At 43.3% G+C, this 19,681-nt stretch overlaps 2 annotated features.

Moving 5' to 3' along the window:
* Positions 1,057–1,557: an enhancer, noted in NCBI's record as "H3K4me1 hESC enhancer chr4:110314673-110315173 (GRCh37/hg19 assembly coordinates)". NCBI's record gives its function as "activates a minimal SCP1, AML or CMV promoter by ChIP-STARR-seq in primed H9 embryonic stem cells {active_cell/tissue: H9 hESC(primed)}" and the evidence as "EXISTENCE:reporter gene assay evidence [ECO:0000049][PMID:30033119]".
* Positions 1,558–2,058: an enhancer, noted in NCBI's record as "H3K4me1 hESC enhancer chr4:110314172-110314672 (GRCh37/hg19 assembly coordinates)". NCBI's record gives its function as "activates a minimal SCP1, AML or CMV promoter by ChIP-STARR-seq in primed H9 embryonic stem cells {active_cell/tissue: H9 hESC(primed)}" and the evidence as "EXISTENCE:reporter gene assay evidence [ECO:0000049][PMID:30033119]".

Here is a 19,681-nt window from a genome sequence, read left to right as displayed (position 1 = left end):
GCCCCCAAAATAAATTATTTGAGTTGTTTTTCTAGGCTGAATTGTATTTCACTTCCTTTTAGATTTCTTTTACCACCAGACATTTTTTCAGTTAGTGTAAAATTTATACCCAGTAAACACATTTCTTTCAAAAATGTCAAGTCCTTTCTAAAAACAGACACTATTTAATACTTGTTCCACAAAATTATCCTCAAGATAGATGGAGAATGTTTTACCAAGTCTGATTAGTTTTGGTTGTACAAAGATATATGTAGTCATGAATAAATAAAGAACATATTTGAGGCAATTTAAAAATCGTCCCAACTTAAAAATAAGTAAAAGAAAACCTTGCTACTGAGAAAAATACAGAGATTAGAGGTGACGTTTTTATAATTGTTACTCTACTCTGATCATATTTATATGATGGGGTTTTAGGGTGACAGTACTGGAATCTCATCACAGGGATGTCGATGACAATATCTTAAGTTTAATACATGGCTTTTGGTTATGTGACAGGAACTCAACTCAAATTTGTTGAGATATGAAAGTGATTTTATTTACTCACTGAATCCAAGAAAAGGTTGAACAGGCAAAGCTGTGGCTTGGGCCTCAAGAAAAATTGGAACCAGGTCTTCAATTGCTGTCAGCACCTTTGTCTCTGTTTCTTTCTCTGCAAATTTACTCCATCCCTGTCACTGTAGACCAGATTCCTCCATGTGGCAGGAAGCATGGCCCACTGACAACTGCCTGAGTCCTCCACTGTTAACCACTGTACCAGACACTGCTGCTGCCCTAAACATGTGCCCTCGGCCCATCTCTGAGGTCACTTGTTGTTGGAGAATTGTTCATCTATGGGTCCCAGGCCTTCTACCTCAAGCACCTACATCTTTCTGCCTGAGGACGTTCTCTGGCTAGGGGCTGGGGGAAATGGGCTGGGATGGTAGGACAAAAGTGCCAGGTGGTTAATAGGCCCAGGAGTAACCCTCAGCCACAGATGATGGGAATGTGTGCATAAATACGTTTCCTTATACTGCAGGGAGTGCATTGTGAGTTTTGTTCTATAGGCCTCTTAGAGGGTGCCCAGCAGGACTGAACATCTTTTCTTATTGCTTTCTCCTTTCCCTTTCTCACTTCCACACTCTCTTACCATGCTTCCTGGGATCAGCTCCCAAATAAACTGATGGAATCCAAATCCTTGTTTCAGAGTGAGATTTTGAGATAATCCAGACAAGGACAACCACCAAAGAATAACAGGTTTGGGTTTCCTTTGTGACCCAGTGTAAAATCGTGGAGAAATTGTTAGATTGGCTCATCTTAGGTCGAGTGTTTACCCACAGCCCAAGCAGCTGTAGCCATGTCTTGTAAGGACATGGCATTCACATGGCTAGAACACGGAATAAAATATTCTGAGTCAGAGATAAAGGGAGAAAGAAAAGGAGCAGGTTAAAAACACAGGAGGGGCCGGGCGCGGTGGCTCACGCATGTAATCCCAGCACTTTGGGAGGCCGAGGCGGGCGGATCACGGGGTCAGGAGATCGAGACCATCCTGGCTAACAGGGTGAAGCCCCGTCTCTACTAAAAACACAAAAAATTAGCCGGGCGTGTTGGCAGGCGCCTGTAGTCCCAGCTACTCGGGAGGCTGAGGCAGGAGAATGGCGTGAACCCGGCAGGCGGAGCTTGCAGTAAGCCAAGATCGTGCCACTGCACTTCAGCCCGGGCGACAGAGCGAGACTCCGTCTCAAAAAAATAAACAAAAACAAAAACAAAAAAACACACACAGGAGGATATTATTCACAGAAGATAGGATATATTGGGACGGTGAATTGGTTGGGCATATAGGACAATAGATATTTACCCATAACGTATTTAATAGAGTGGTTTATAAAAAGTTTGTTCTGATTCAACGTTTTTTGATAATTTTATTTTAAATTAATTTCAAACTTCATAAAAAGCTGCAAGAATAGTCAAGGAACTCTAATATGCCTATCGCCCAGATTTACCAACAACTTATGTTTTGCTTCATTTGTTTTTATAATTAGCTCTCTCTGTAAATGTATATATACATCTACACACACATATATGGATACAAATAACTCCATATATACAAATATATATTCATGTGTATTTTTTCCTGAACCATTTCAGAGAATGTTATTTTATTTTACTTTATTTTAAGAGACAGGATCTCACTGTGCTGTTCAGGCTGGTCTTGAACTCCCAGCCTCAAGCAGTCTTCCTGCCTGTACCCCACTTGTATCTAGGAAGAAACGAACTTGCTTTTGATTTTACAGGCTCATAGGCAGAAGGGACTTGCTTGTCTTAGATGAGACGTTGGACGGTGGACATTTGAGTTAATGCTGAAATAAGTTAAGACCTTGGGAGACTGTTGGGAAGGCATGATTGGTTTTGCAATGTGAGGACATGAGATCTGGGAGGGGCCAGGGACAGAATGATATGGTTTGGCTGTGCCCCCACCCAAATCTCATCTTGAATTGTAACTCCCATAATTCCCTCATGTTGTGGGAGGGACCCAATGGGAGATAATCAAATCATGGGAGGTGTTCTCTCATACTGTTCTTGTGGTAGTGAATAAGTCTCACAAGATCTGATGGTTTTATACGGAGAAACCCCTTTTGCTTGGTTCTCATTCTATTTTTTTGCCTGCTGCCATATATGTAAGATGTGACTTGCCCATCCTTGCCTTCCGCCATGATTGTAAGGCCTCCCCAGCCATGTGGAACTGTAAGTATACCTTATATTATGTCTAGCTCTGAGTAGACTAAAACATAAAAGAGAATGTTCATTGATTTAAGCTAGACAATACAGTATCATTGGATTGTGGATATAATCAAAGTGTCAGTGATGAATTTTTCAAATCATCCTTTTTTAAAAAACAATACTATTCAAAGGTGGTCTGTAACCAAAACTTCTATACAGCATGTGGATACGTTGAATATATCATAGATATTTATAGCTAGGTGGAACTAGAGATTATTTAGTGCATTGTACAGAACAAAAACTTTAGATGTACTGAACTTAGGAAATTTGACTGTGGTAGTCCACAGAAAGTCAAGAGTAGATCCCACATCCTCCTGATATCCTGATCCCTTGCCCAGTGTGCTCTTTCAATCCTGCCCCAAGTCATCAAAACTATGCTACCCACTGAAGCTGTCATCTAGATTCCTATTTGTGATTTGGTGATAATGCAATTTTCAATGTAGTTGATTAATCTCATTATCAAATGAAGATTTACCTGGAAAGTTTTTACTTTAAGGGCTACTACCTAACAAATGATACTAAAAATTAAGCAGCTCTTCTGTACCTCAAAACATTCTGCCAATAGAAAGCCCTCCATATCTCAATGAACAACTGTTTTAATACCTTCATTTCTGATGTTTAGATTCTTATATTTTAGTTATTGTTTTTAATTAGAAGAAAAGGAGTCTCCACTCATTATATTAATTTAAGAGCAATGCACTTCAAAGGAATGCAGATCCATTCCTCTCAGTTGTGACAAAACAAGGGAGAGCAGAGCTCTCTCTTTAACAGGAAGATGTGGCTGAAAGGTCTTCTGGTGTAGTGGGAAGCACAAGTGCTTTAGAGTCAGTCAAATGGAGTTTCAAATTCCATATCAGTCAATATTTGCAGTATGGCTTGGGCACCTTAAGCAACCATTCTGAACTTCAGGTTCCTTATCTGCGTAATAGGAGTAATAATATCAATTATTTAATTCTCTCTGCTGCTGTAAGCACTTACCCTTCTAGATGACAGAAAATGTATTTTAAAGTCTCTGATGTGGTGTCAATGCTCAATGGTCTATTTTAGCAATAATTTTCAACTGGGTAATTGTCCAAGACCTGTGCTATGAGTAGATAGTCAGAAGCATCATTATAGGGTGAGGAAGCTGATCCTATCAGCTGGTGCTAAAAATCATTCAAGACTGTTATAAACAGTCCATACAGTTAGTTACCTTTTAAATTTGCTTTGCTCCAGGTTTGGGACTAGCAGTTAGCAAGTGTTCCCCTCTTCTCCCTTACTTCTGTGACTGGTTAGTTGCATTAAAAAAACCCCAAAACCAAAACAAAAAACAAAAACCAAAACTTTCTTCACTCTTTAAAGTTGCCCTAGATTTTTTACTTTCATAGGTTTCACCAGCATAAGAATGCTTTGGGTTAGGGGGTCCTTACAGCAGGACTTGTTCTGCACTCCCCTTGGGTGGCCAATGCTGTGATTATGTACCCCTTTCCTTTCTTAATTGAAAATGTGACTTAAGTGTCACCTGTATGTTAGTGAAACTAGACATGTTACAGAGGCTTCTTGAAATGTAAAATGATCTTTATGCTTTTTGCTTTTGTATTAGTTTTCTCATCTCTAAAGCAAATTAATAAAATAAATTTCACAGTGTTTCATAAAAACATTTCTTCCTGGGTTAGAGTCAGTAATGTCAAGTTAGGCATGAATTACAAAGTTCTGAAAATGGGACCTATAATGAAAACTGCAACTCAACCATGTAAACACAGCTTTGAACATGTGAAACTATGATACAGATTCAGTCACTGCCTGAATAGATTTCTCTACTTTCAAGTCCTGTGGAATTGTTCTTCTCTATCCTTCTTTTCCTGTCTAAACAGAAAATTTACCAATTGTATTAGCAGTTATCAGTATGAATCAGCTGCTTTTGAGCCTGATAATTTTCTTGGAAAAATGTTTTCATAGCAATTTGCCCAGCACATGACAATCATAGAATTGCTAATTTGGGAGGAACAGGGAAGGTCACCAGTCCAACCTCCCAGTTGCAGTAGTCATTCCCTATTCAGTTTCTGAGAGATGGCTAACTAGGCTCTAGATCATTCAAAATGATAAAATAAGTCATTCTAAGGAAAAAGGTGAGTTTCTGTATTTTGGGCTTTACAGTCCTTTCTACCTCATTTTAATCATCATTTTCCAGAAACAGAAAATATAAAATGAAAGCAAACTGGACGCTGTATTATAAACATGCACATGGGCATGCACACCCTCACAGATGCTTAAAATATTAATTAAAAGTCTGGTGGTGAGACTGCTGAGCCTGATAATGAGGACTGGACATTTTACAAACAGCAGTCATGTGCTAGATGCAATGGCATCTCACAGCCAGGTGTGATTTGTGTGCTCTAGCAGGGAGCTCTCAATCATAAGCCACACAGTGGTTCAGTCTCCTGGTATCTTTATTTCAGAAAGAGCCAGCAGGTGACAGGAAAGCTGTAACAGCTGAAAATAGAACCAGATATGATAGAAAGTAGAAGTAGATTTTTTGTGGCATATTGTAAGCTTTATTTCTTGGTAGTCTTATATAGTAGGAAATTTTGTTTTCTGCCTGTCTTTTTTATCTGTCCCTTGGGGAGACACTTTGATGATCAGTCCTGGTCTCATATTGAGCCTTCCAGCCAAAGACTACTGCTCATGTTGGGCTGCAGTTCCTGCTAGTGCCTCATTTCACACACGGATTGGTGTGTGAGGTGGAGGAATGACCCCGGAGAGCCGGGAGAGAACAGCTGTCTGCCACATAGCAAACAGGGACGGCTGCGATCAAGGCCAAGCTGAAACACATGGCGGGCTGCAAAGCTTTCAGAGCTGCTGAAAATTGAATCCTTCCTTCTAGCTCCTGACCCTATCAAATCACAATGCAGGAGTTACTCTTAAGAAATTAGAGTTCCTAATTTTTATTTTACTCCACACATTTGCTTCTGATTTTACTCATGGTAACCAAAAGAAGACCTAAAAAGCAAAGAGATTAATGTTTTGAGAGGTTGAGAGCAAATGTCTCTACTGAAACCTCACTTGTGCTAACCAATAGGCACTCACAGAGTTCAGTTCTGTTTTCCACAGCTTGAGTCTCTCAGTGCCAACCTTTTGAATGAATGCTGTTACGCTATCTATTACTAACCATTGAGCCTACCTTATGGTTACTGTTTATTATATACCAGTGGGTCATAAAAATGAAAGATTAAGGTCACTATATGTTTATTTGCCATTGGAGATGACTTTAAAAAAACAAATTCAGTGGCTGCAGAAATGAAGTGTTTAGTCATTCCTGAGCACTCATGTGGCCAGAGCAGCCTGTTTACCAGGTTTTAGACACTGACTGCTTTCAGGACTCAAGAAATTCTAGCAATTAATGCTTGTTTAGGGTTGTTCCACCTACTTAGCAGGGCGATTCTACCCATCAGCCACGGTTTATTGACAATCCTTTATGTGCCAGACACTCTACTAGGTACTTTGGAGAATTACAAAAGAAGAAGGCACACATTAAATTGTAAACTCCTCAAGAGGAATTCAACCAGAGAAACATAAATAAATAGATACCTGTAAATGTGAGTGACAAAATAAAAATCAGTTCTATTCCCTTGAGTGTACTCGGTGCCTTTAGTAATAGATGTGTTACTCCCATACCATGGGCACTAGGAACAGATACTTTTAGGAGTTCAGGAAATAAAAATCTTGTGTTTTTTCTCTCTTGTCCCCAGAATGGTAACTGTAATGCCATAGTTTCACAGTTCGTAATTAGTAAAGTATGCAACACAGTTTTGACTGAAAAACAGCAATGTTCTCAAGTATCAGAAATGATGCTTGAATTTGGCAAAGTAGTCAGTCCCAATTATGTAGTGAACATGCTCTTTTTTGGAACTAAATGGCTAGGAAAGCATGTGTGGGGTTCTGAGGATAGACTTTGTGATGCCACGGATCTAAACTAGGCTTGTCAATTTAGTTAATTCACTTAAGAAACACTGATTGAATGCCAACTACCTGCCCAATTCTGTTTTAGATTTGCAGGATTTAAAAATGAATAACAGAGAGGACTTTTTCTCAATGAGTTCATAGTATGGGTGTATATGGGTGAAGGGGAGAAGCTTGGGTGGAGTGCAAGTAAGCAGAAAATTGTATTACCTTATGGCAATTGCTATAGTGATTTTTATTTTCTACTGTGATTTTGTAGTGGGGTTCAGAAGGTTGGCAGCTGGCTTTTGGATTAACACCTCTAGTAAAGTAAAGGAAAATCTATAGGTACTTAAAAATCAAATCAAAATTATTGACAGGCTCAGGGAAAATGCCGGCTTCAGCCCTGAGTGGCCACAGTCCCTCTAATAAATTCCAGTCTTCTTTATGGAATTGGTTAACCCCTTTATTAAGACCTCTCTTGCTTATTTGTCTTCTTGTATTGATATTTGGACCCTGTATACACAATACTATACCTCAAATTGTTTCTTCTCGCCTAGAAGCAAACTCCAAATGGTTCTGTAAACTAACTACACATGGACATGCCATTCTTCGGAGGACCCTTAGATCCACCCTAGGAGGAGCCCTAGCTGCTGTTCCCCATTTGATGCCCCTTTTCAGCAGGAAGTAGCCAGAAGGAGTCGTTGCCCAAAACCCCCTAACAGCAGTTAGTGTGGCATCTCCACATGGGGGAATGTTGTAGGAGTTATTAAGAAATTATTTTAGGCAGATAGACAGGAAAAGGGGTCCTTGGGAAGTTTTCTTTTTTGTTTTTTCTTTTTTGTTTTGAGATGGAGTTTCCCTCTTGTTGCCCAGGCTGGTGTGCAATGGCACGATCTTGGCTCACCACAACCCCTGCCTCCCAGGTTCAAGCGATTCTCTTGCCTCAGAGTTAAGAGAATCTCTTGCCTCAGCCTCCCGAGTAGCTGCCTGGGATTACAGGCATGCACCACACCTGGCTAATTTTGTATTTTTAGTAAAGACGGGGGTTTCTCCATGTTGGTCAGGCTGGTCTTGAACTCCCGACCTCAGGTGATCCGCCTGCCTCAGCCTCCCAAAGTGCTGGGATTACAGGCGTGAGCCACCGTGCCCAGCCCTAAGTTTTCCTTTTTTTAAAGCATCTCCGCAAAAGTTTCTTGTAAAGCCCTGGCTCTAGAGCCAGGCTGGCAACCTTTGATATGCAAACGCCAGCCATTAGAAACTGGGTCCACCCAAACATGGCGATTCCAGTGGCCTTCTTGCCCTTTCCCCACATGTTTTTGGCAACATGGCCGCCCCCACGTATCCCCACGTGTGTAGAACGTCACGGTGCCCTGCATTTGTATATTAAAAGGCTAGGGCAGGAGGGCCAGCTTTTTCGCGGGCTATGTGAATGACATGCCTAGTCAAACCAATCCCATGGACCCTATGCAAATCAGACACCGCCTCCTGCAGCCTCTGTATGTACACCTAGCTGGTATCTGTGGCAGGTGGGGTTCCCTCTCTCGGCTTTGGAGCCCCCCTCCCTCTGTCTCTGTACAGGGGAGCTTCTTCCTTCTCCCTTCCTTCTTGCCCCTTCTTGCCTGTTAAATTCGCCTCTCGTTAAATTAAAAAAAAAAAAAAAAAAAAAAGAGGTTGGCAGCTGTGCTGCCACTAACATTTCTGGGGGCTGGGGAGGGGGGATTTTGAGAGATGGTTCTGTTGCTGTGTATAAGTGTTGTGGGTCAGAGACTTAAGGAACAAAAAGAGTTATGCTGTCTCCTGGAATTCTAAAATTCTGGGGCAGTGAATTCTCAGGCATGACCATAAGGTGGAAGAGAGTCTGTAATAATCATTGTCAGTGCCTGGCCTATTTCCTTTCTGGCTTGTCATTGTAATTCACTACTATTGCTGGCTTCTGACAACCTGATCAAGGTATCCTCTGGCAACATGGGCAGGCTGGGTAAGCCAGGAATCTAATGACCCCTTCCCAGACCCCCAGCCCCACCAGTAACTGATGGGAGGAGGTGTATGTGTCCCAGTTCTTTCACTTCTCTGGTGGGATAACTCTGAGACTTGACACGCAGAGTTTCAGAGAGCAATTAAGTTCCAGTTGCCCAGAGTGGGTGACACAGCCAGAGTGAAAACACATCTTAATTAGCTGACTTTTCTTCCTCGTGTCTCATTTCTTTCTTTCTTCATTGGGATGACATCCAAATCAACTGCAGCACTCAAAACTTTGTTTCAGAATCTGCTCTAAGGGGAACCTGTCTTTGCAAAAAATTGTTCACTGACATCCTGGCTGAAAACTAACTCAGCTGGTGGAAGTTTTTGGATGATCCTAGACAGCTGGTAAGGGTGGTCTTTATCAACCCCTCTTCTCAACTAATCCAATTTTTTTTCTCTCCTGAGCCTAAATAAGATAAAGAATGTCCAAAGGTGAATGGCTGTGGATAAATATTCATGTTCTCAGCCTTACCCATAGACTCCTGCTGACCTAGGCTGATTTTCAGGTTTGTTATGTGTAATTGGGTAAATTCCATAATGTGTAAGTTTGCCCTCTTGGCTATAAATATAAATAGGTCTGGAGTGGGCCAGTCTATGAGTTGACTTACATGAGGCATTCATTCATTCATTCATTCAAAAAATACTTATTATGTGCCAAGCCCTATACCAGGCATTGTGAATGTAGCATTAAACAAGGTAGATTTAAACTCATCCTTTATTAGGCTTTGAATGCAAAGCTTATAGAGATGGCAAAAATGAAATTGTTACAGGATTCTTGGGTGTCACTTCACCAGCTAGAAACCTCTGTGGCCAGCTGTGCCTTTGCCTGAGATTTGCTCAGGCCCACTGGGACCACTCAGCCTGAAAGGCTGTGCTTGGCTCGTGTTACTGGCCTGGATCCCATGCCTGCCAAGGATGAGTGGAGTGGTGAGAGGTATGTGAGGGAGCAAGTGTGGGGTCTGGTCACTGCACACAGCCAGGCATACTGGCTGCGGTGGGGCGGGCAGCTTCAGATGCCAGCATGAGCGCCAGCTCCCTGTGAGGCTGTGGCTGGACTGGGCACCCTGCAAGCAGCTTCCATGGCTGGCACGGGGGGACATGGTGGCACCTGGAAGGTTGGGTGAGGCTGTGGCTGGATGGGGCATCCTGCAAGCAGCTTCTATGGCTGGCATGGGGCAACACGGTGGCGCCTGGAAGGTTGGAGATGTCAGGAACTGCAGAGCCCCAAAGAGAGTGTCACAGCCCTGGCTTGGGGAGCTCCTAGGTCTGGGCTTTCTGAAGGGCTGCAGCTTTTCTCTTTTTTTTGTCACCCGCAATATGGTGAGCAAGGGGCATGTTTCAGCCCTGTCTGTGTTACAGCTCTTTCATCCCTGCCATTTGGTGGGTCTCGCATTCTTGTCTTGCACCCAGGAAGAATGAGGTATGTGGACAAGTTGGAGGGTGAGCAAGGTGAAGAGGAGCTTTATTGAGCAATGGAACAGCTCAGAGGAGACTCACAGTGGGTAGCTGCTCTCTGTAGCCAGGGTGTCCTGACTAGTGTTCAGCCCTTAACAGAGAGGAAACCCTGCAGTGGGCAGCTCCTCTCTGCATCTGGCTATCCCAATGTCTCCTGATTCTGGGGTTTTTATGGGCTTCATAAGGGAGGAGGTGCATGCTGATTGGTCCATGGGTGGCCATGGGCAGGCCAGAAAAAGCACTATAAGTTCCCATTTCTGTCCTTGGGCTGGCAGCCTGGCCTCCAAGCTTCAGGCCTTCCCTGGCTTGAAGGTGGGGCTTCACTGGGGACCCATCCCTTTTCATCCAGGAGCCTGTCTGCCTTCTGCTGCTGTTCATGGTGCCCAGGCTGTTCATGCCAAGGGGTGCCTGCAGGCCCATGCCAAGCTGCCCTTACCCCTGACTCAGTCTCCCTCTCATGCTCATTGGTGCCCAAAGTCCAGAGTGGGCCGAGGTGGAAGGAAGCTGGCATGTTAGTGCTGCTCCAAGCACGCACACACGCTGCAGAGAGATTGTCCAGATTGTCACAGCACCCAGGCTCAGCCTCAACTTTGCTCTGAGATTGAAGTGGGTGCCGGGAGCAGGGAGAGGCCAGGCAGCAGGAGCAGGCATTTCTGAGCCTATGGGGGCAGGGGGTCTTCCTGGGCCCCCAACAGTACAGAGATGCCCAGGTCCGCAGCCATGACTTGGGTGGCTGCAGCTGCACCTGGGAGGGCGGGGTTCCTGCCTGCTCCCAGACCCCAAGAGCACAGGGAGACCTGGGTCTGAAGCCATAGCTGGGAGGCTGCAGCTGTGCCCAGGGAGTGTGAAGCTCCTGCCCTGCCAACACAGAAGGGGGTGGGGCTTCCACCTGTTCCCAGTTCCCACCGGCTGCATGAAGTGCACAGCCCCAGCTGTACCTCCCACACTGCAGCCAACGTCATGACAGTGGCCACTCTAGACAGGCTGCTGCTGCCATCAAAATGGTGGCAGAAGCTGGGAGGTATACAATAGTTACATTACACGGAAATACAGAAGCTATGAGAAAAGGAGAGTAGAGACCGTTTGGTAGTAGAAGGAGAAGCTGAGAGAGACATTAATAGAGGCAGAGATGAAGACTTGCAAGGTCATGGTAATGTTACAACACTAGATTTTTGGGACCCATGAACCTGCTGATGAGATGGCAGCAAAGTAACTGGGTTGAAAAGCTTCACTGGGTTCCAAAAGCTTCACTGGGTTCCAAGGATAACCCAATTTCCAAACTCCATTCTGTGAGCTGCCTCTGCTTTAGGTACTGTTCATCCATGTCTTTGGGATCTGAGATTCTGGTTTCTTATTTTCTGATGTATTATAATTGTTATTATTTTTACAACAGAACTTCATTAGTTAAGGAACCTGTGAGTGAATTCTTTTTCATTTTATAGCTGATTAACACAGAACTGTGAACATGAAATTTAATTCTCGCTTTTAACGGATGATGAAACTGAAGCCCAATGAGGCAAAGTGATTTTCTGTTGAAGTAAAAACTCTGACTCCAAATTCACAGCATTTTATATCTATCAGAACAAATAATAGTAACCTCACTTACTGTGAAGAGGCCCAGAAACAAGGCAATCTTAGAATAGCCAGCATCCTAAAACTGACATTTCATATAGTTTTCAGAGGTTCATAAAAATCCTGTACATTTCACTAGATTTTCACCGGTCCAATTCATATTTATCAGTGCAATCCTCCAATCGTTCTTTTTGTTTTTGGTTTGTTTTGTGTTACCCTACATACATTTAAGTCAGTAGTATCAGGTTCACCTGGGAAATTGTCAGAGATGTAAATTAACAGGCCCCATCCAAAACCTACTAAATCAGAAATTCAAGGTTTGGAGTTGAGCAGTTTGTTTTGATGAGCTCTTCAGGTAATTCTGATGGCATGCTAAAGTTTGAGAGTCTTTTCTTTAGGCTAAGAAAATGTCTGGATCCACTTGTAGCAAATATTTTCCTATAAAAAAGTTTTTAAAGAAGAAACAGTATATTATCTTAAAAATTAATCTCTCTGATGCTTTTTAGGCCTATTTTTGCTGGGTTTTTTGGTTGTTGTTTGTTTTTTTTTGTTTGTTTTTGTTTTTTTTTTTTTGAGACAGAGTCTCTCTCTGTCACCCAGGCTGGAGTGCAGTGGCACGATCTCGGCTCACTACAAGCTCTTCCTCACGGGTTCACGCCATTCTTCTGCCTCAGCCTCCCAAGTAGCTGGTACTACAGGCGCCCGCCACCACACCCGGCTAATTTTTTGTATATTTAGTAGAGACGGGGTTTCACCATGTTAGCCAGGATGGTCTCGATCTCCTGACCTTGTGATCCACCCACCTCAGCCTCCCAAAGTGCTGGGATTACAGGCGTGAGCCACCGCGCCTGGCCTATTTTTGCTGCTTTTATTGTTGATGATGATGATGATGATGTGTGTTTGTGTTTGTATCTGTGCGTTTTTCAGTTCTAGGTACATGAAATCCACTGGTGTGCTGGTAAATGTTTAATAACCAGTCCTCTGGAAAGGAGAAAGTTGAAGACCCCATTTATACATTTGCTCATTTCTGTGGTGTAAATACCCTGAAAATAGCTGATTTCGAGCTATCAACATTACTGAAGATGGAGCTGGGAAGAGGTGAGCATAAGTGACACTCAAAAGTCAGTACTGGCTGTACTCATTACTTTGGATTCCATAAATTTAAGCATAAAGTTTGAGATTGAGTTGTTATACTTAAATGTTAGTTGAATGAATTGTGGACGAGTAAACTAAGACTATGGGACTGGAATTTTATTTTTTGGGTAGGGAAAAATTTAGTGTGAATAAAGACTTTAACATCTCAGAGTATTCTTCCTGGATTTTAGTGAACGTCACAAAAGTAACAACAGAAAGAAAATTAAGAATGCATTTATTGAGAATGTATTCTTTAAATAGCACTCTTTATTACATACTGTAACAAATCAGGCTATTTAAACACAGGCTGTTTTCAGCATAGCACTTTATGGCAATAAAACACTTTGCAAATCAATTTTATTGTTCCTCTCTACAACCTCAAGAGGTAATAGATATGAGTTCCCTATTTTTACAGATGAAGAAAGTAAGGCACAAAGAGATCTTCAAACTTTCACATAGTGTGTTAATAGAAAAACTGGGATTAAGACTTGAGTCCTGGAATTTCCCAGTCATAGTTTATTAGGTTATGTTTTCTGAAATGTGCATAATTTAAAATGGGACTTTAATTGGCTTTGGTCTGCAGGGGTGGCTATGCTTTCTATTGGTACAGTGTTGCAGACCTGAGCTACATTATGATGCTTGTCCTGTCCCTTCTTGCCAGCCTTGATCTGTCCAGAGTCTTTGCTGAGAAGGGCCCTTAGAGGGCCATGATTTTTATAGGATTCCTAAAATCATTCGTCCCCCAAACCACAGCTGCTTGGATTAGAGGTGAACACCAGACCCAGGGGTGACCGATCAATAGATTGGCCTGTGGCCTAAACATAACAGGACTGTCATACTCCTCTCCAGAATTTGGAATAACAAAGAATGAGAAAATTAGTGTGGGTGCTGCAAGGTAAAAATCATGATGTAAAGATATGCTGGAAAGGCCAGGGTGGACTGTGGTTAACTAAAATCACGAGAGCAGAAATTACTAGTAAGTAGAAAGTTTGACTTAGAGAACAGAGAAAGATTAGATAAGGAAGCAAGTCGTTAGAGTAAGAAAAATAAATAAATATTCAGGAAAAATAAATAGACACCATGAGAGACAAACCATGTAGCAATTGATAGCTGGTGGAGACAGAGCAGCCAATTCTTAGGGCTGCTCCTGTGACTGGCAGCTTTCCAGCTTCTATCCATGTATATATGTACAAGTTCTGCTGCACAAAACAGGAACTCTGCATTAGTGACTTAGCCCAAAGGGGGTTTGTAGTCTTCACATAACAAGAAGTCTGCAGGCAGGCGGCTCAGGGCTGGAGCAGCAGCTCCACAACATCAACAACACACCAAGCTGCACTAGCTTTCCACTTCACCATCCTGGACAAGCAGCTTTTCTCCTCATATTTGCCATCTCACAGCCTCCAGCTTCACATCTATTTCCATGAGGGAAGAAATGATGAAGATAAATGTGTTTTCCATGTATAAGTATCAGAAATGCAAAACTTCCCCCAAAAATCCTGCTTTTTTTCTCATTACCTAAACAGTGACATGGACTCTTCGCAACAAAAACTTTTTTTTTTTTGAGACAGAATCTCACGCTGTCGCCAGGGCTGGAGTGCAGTGGCATGATCTTGGCTCACTGCAACCTCCGCTTCCTGGGTTCAGGCGATTCTCCTGCCTCAGCCTCTCAAGTAGCTGGGATTACAGGCGCCTGCCATTATGCCCAGCAAATTTTTTGTATTTTTAGTAGAGACGGGGTTTCACCGTGTTGGCCAGGCTGCTCTTGAACTCCTGACCTCATGATTCACCCGCCTCGGCCTCCCAAAGTGCTGGGATTACAGGTGTGAGCCACTGCGCCCGGCCAAGCAAAACTTTAAGAAATATAAACCCTTCTCCTTTTTCTGTTTTTAGCTTAGCACATTGTTGCCCAGGACAAAATTGGGAGTCCAGGGCTGGGTGCGGTGGCTCACGCCTGTACTCTCAGCACTTTGGGAGGCCAAGGCAGGTGGATCATGAGGTCAGGAGTTCAAGACCAGCCTGGCTAAGATGGTGAAACCCCATCTCTACTAAAAATACAAAAATTAGCCACACATGGTGGCATGCACCTGTAATCCCAGCTGCTCAGGAGGCTGAGGCAGGAGAATCGCTTGAACTCGGGAGGCAGAGGTTGCAGTGAGCCAAGATCACGCCACTGCACTCCAGCCTGGGTGACAGAGTGAGACTCCATCTCAAAAAAAATAAAATAAATAAAATAGAATAAAAAAGAAAGAAAGAAAATTGGGAGTCCAGTTAGTAAGAAGAAGGGAAAGACTGGTGAAGCAACTAGCACTGCCTTCCCAGCATACTTGTACCTAGACCCCCACTGCTTGAGGAACTCGTGTGAATCTTGAAATAAATTTTCAAGATTGGAGGTAAGAGGTATGTGGTTGTTCCAGGAAAGGTAGTCTGGTCATCAGTCATCATAATTCTGCTGTCTCCGACTTTGAGCAAATATAGCTGGCCCACCCAGAAGAGTGCTATCTTGTTTTAAAGTACTTGGGGGGAAAAATCCAAAACATTAACTGCTAATAGCAAATATGGATTTGTTAACAAGTTGTGCCACACTAACTTTATAAAACATTTTTAAAAATTACACTGAGAGGTGGGGAAATGCTGTAGATACAGAATGTCTTGGTTTTGGCAAGGCAATTAATAAACCCTCTTGATGTCACTGAAAAAAGATGGAGATATTTAATTTGATGATGGTAGAGTTATCTAAACAAAAAGCTGGTTACATGTATTTACGAAGCTTGATGTTGACAAATAAATTGTTAATCCAACAAGAAGTCTTTAGAGGTGAACCAAGAGAACCTGCCCTTGACTTTGTCCTGTTCAATATTTCTGGTGGTGACTAGGAAGAAGAGAGAGTTCACTGATCCAGAGTTGGAAGAATAGCTTTTAATGATGAGTGATGGAATAGAAATATATGAGCAGAATGGCCTTAGGTTGAAAAGACTCAGTAACACAAATACGGCAGAGAGAGGATCTGGTTTAATATCAGTTCAAGGGAGAAAAAACAAAAAGGACTCCATTCAAAGTCAACTGTGATGATGCATGGCTTGCTTGCCCCTCTCTCCCTTTATCTTATTCACTTAGCAAATCCCCAACCCATGTGAAATCCAATCCTTACTGTCCCACACCTGCACTTGTGCAGCTGCAAATGGCAGGAGAGAAACACAACCGCACGGGAAGTCCTTACTTTAAATTTATGACCAAATAGGCTCTTAATGCTGCCACTCGTAGAAACATATAAACGCTCCTGGTTGCATTAGGACTTTTCCTCATTTTGGTCTCCTAAGTGAATATTTCACACATCCTTCTCTCTCCTCAATTCCTCAGCATCTCCTTCATTATCTTCCTTCTAAGCTGATGCGCCTGCTTTCTGCTTAACTGAGAAAACTGAAGTGATCATATCAGAAGTTGCATGGATTCTGCATCACCACTGCATCTGCTCACCACTCAGCATCTCCACCCACAGGTACCACCTTCTTGCCTGTGACAGAACTATCTCAAGTACATACCTCTATTTGTGGAGGCACCTTTCTTGCCCCCACAGAGACATTGCTTGAGCAATTCTCCCCTTCCTCTCCTACATCATCAATTGTTCCCTCTCTGTTGAAAATTCCCATTAGCATTGAAACATGCAATTCTTACTTCTGGAATTATTTCCAGTCCTGTGTGACTCTGGGAATTGTTTCTCGCTCCTTTTCTGTTTCTCTCCTAGGCCTTGGGGAGTTTCTTCAGCTGAAGCCCCTCTACAGGGAACCCCTGCAGCCCTCCAGAGCTCTTTCTCTGAGCAGTCCTCTTTGCTGTGCTATTCTGCTCTGTGAATTCTTGCACTGCCTTGTTCTCCCTGAATTCTCAACTCTGTCCCTCACCCTGGGGCACTGTTTGGTTTCCCCCGCTGCACAGTGTGGCTGGAATCTCTATGCAGTTCGCTGGGCAGTCATGTGGAGCACCTCGTTTGTTTCCTGGCTCTCAGGGATCACTGTCCTGTGCTGTGTTTTCCACTGACTGAAAATTCTTTGTTTCATGAATTTTGTCCAGTTTTTCAGGTGTTTAAGGTGGGAGGGTAAATTCAGTCTCTAGTGCTTCATCATGACTGGACACAGTCTTTTCATTCTTCTTAAGCCCACTTCAGTGAGATTTTTTGCTTCCAGCATGTCCTTGGAATCTCTCTCGTCTGGGTCAGCCCTGATCTTCGGTGGTTTAATCCAGTGCTCAGTTCTCACTTTACTGGCCCTGCCAGCCACATTTGATACATTTGATTGTGCTTTTGTACTACATACATTTTCTTCATGTGGCTTTCGAGGCCCATTTCTTTAGACCCAGAATCGGACCATTCCTCATCCCCTCCACTGCCACCACCCTGGTCTAGTCGCCATCGTCTTTCTCCTACAATATGGCAAGAATCTACTTTGCTTTCCCCTCAGCCTGCAGGAGGTGGGGAGAGGAAAGATATTCAAATCTTTTCTCAAACTAGCATCCAGAGTGATCCATTTAGAATACAAGTCAGATCATCCCCTTCCTTATTCAAATCCCTGCAGGGGCTGTAGATTTCCCTCAGATAGAAACCCACCAGCTCCAAGGGCCTGCTGCTCACCTTCCTGATTTCCTCTCTCACTGCTGCCCCACCGACTCACTGGGCTTCAGCCACAGTGGACTCTTTTTGTTCCCAGAACATGCCACGTGGGTCCCACCATAGCATCTGTGCGCTGCTGAAACATTCTTTTTCTTGGAGTACCTGTAGTTAACTCCCTTGCTTCAAATCATTGCTCAGATATCACCTTCTCATTGAGGACTACCCTGATGAATTGATTTAATACAGCACCTTTCCTAACCCTCCAAGTCACCCATCTCTCTACATACTCACAGCAGGAACATGACAGATACTTGTTGAATGGAAGAATGAACAAGGTCAGGAAAGAACAATCAAATATAATTTTAGATTCTTTTAGTAGAATTACAATTTCCAAGCAAGAAATGTATAGTCTCACTGTACTTTGGAGTAACGGTAATAGTTAAAAATTTTCAGTAATTACTGTGTGCTCTCTATATATCATTACACCATTAAATATTCACAGCAATATGATAAGGTAGGTTTTCTTTTTGTTGGTGAAGAAAATGAGACAGAAAGGTTTAATAAATTTCCCCATTCGCACAGCTAAGAATTGGTAGAACCATGATTCAAACCCAGACAATTGACTATAGAACCCAAATCTACTATTTTAAGCGACTACTTCTCTGTCACGAGAAGTTTATGCAGAACTCGGATGACCACCTCTTGGGTATAAAGGTCTTCAGTTGGAAGTTTAGACTTGCATTCTACCTGGCAGATTCTGTGATTCACCTGCCCTTTACCTGGTGGCCCATTTAGATGCCAATGGCAGTGCAAGGAAGGGACAGCTGAGACCAGAACTGCTCACCAGTGTGGGAAAGAGAAGCAGCACACTCCCATTCCCACCCCCTCCATTTTACAGATACCCTGAAGATGGGGGAGAGACCATTTCTATTTCCTAAATGGATGTGTTCCCGATAGGAATGCAGTGAGATTAAACTCACAGCACGTTGTATTTTGCCTTAGTTGGAAGCAGAGCATATATTAACTGGACTCATGGAAAACTTGTCATTGCTCAAACTGGAGGAAGTCTGATTAGACAAATCATGTAGCTTAATTTGAAAAGAACTCAAGGAAAGACATCTGACTAAATGAATCAAAAGAGGATATCTCTGGGCAGGTGCGGTGGCTCACAGCTGTAATCCAAGCACTTAGGGAGGCCTAGGTGGGCAGATCACTTGAGGTCAGGAGTTCAAGACCAACCTGGCCAACATGGTGAAACCCTGTCTGTACTAAAAATACAAAAATTAGCTGGTTGTGGTGGCCTGCACCTGTAGTCCCAGCTACTCAGGAGTCTGAGGCATGGGAATAGTTTGCACCTGGGAGGCGGAGGTTGCAGTGAGCTGAGATTGCGCCACTACACTCCAGTCTGGGCGAAAGAGCAAGCCTCCGCCTCAGAAAAAAAAAAAAAAAAAAAAAGGACATGTCTGTAGGGTGAGTGGGTAGGAAAGTGTTTGAGGATGGTGGTGGCGCAAGCCTGGAAGCTGAGAAAAACAAACTCCAAGTTTGCCCACTTCACACATTTTCCAGAGCCCTGGAACTGTTTTATTCCTTATTCTTGGTCTGAGTGGCTCCTTGGAGTGGGAGGCGGCATGTCACAGCCTGCAGTCTGTTTGGGCACCAGTCCGATCTCCATTCACATCCTGTCTATTCCACTTACTAGCTGTGAGACTGTGAAATAGACGGTTCACCACATTGATTAACACCTACCTTAAAGGGCTGTTTGCAGGATGACATGGACAAAGCCAAGGTGATTTTGTTGCTCAAAAGTGTTAGCTCCCTTCCTTCTTTCAATCCAGGGAAGATAATCTTCTAAGGTCACACCACTTAAAAGGCGATTTACCCACCAGGCATGGTGGCTCACACCTGTAATCCCAGCACTTTGGGAAGCCAAGGTGGGCAGATCACTTGAGGTCAGGAGTTTGTGACCAGCCTGGCTAACGTGGTGAAACCCCTTCTCTACTGAAAATACAAAAATACAAAAATTAGCTGGGTGTGGTGGCAGTTGCCTGTAATCCCAGCTACTCGGGAGGCTGAGGCAGGAGAATCTCTTGAACCCAGGAGGGAGAGGTTGCAGTGAGCTAAGATCGCACCACTGCACTCCAGCCTGGGCAACAGAGTGAGACTCTGTCTCAAAAAAATAAAAAAGGCAATTTGCAGACTGTTGCTAGTCCAGGAACTGTT

This window comes from Homo sapiens, chromosome 4, assembly GCF_000001405.40.
Source record: "Homo sapiens chromosome 4, GRCh38.p14 Primary Assembly".
In the NCBI taxonomy this organism is placed as follows: Eukaryota; Metazoa; Chordata; class Mammalia; order Primates; family Hominidae; genus Homo; species Homo sapiens.
Note: the sequence above shows the minus strand (reverse complement) of the source record. Positions and strands in the feature narration are given on the sequence as shown.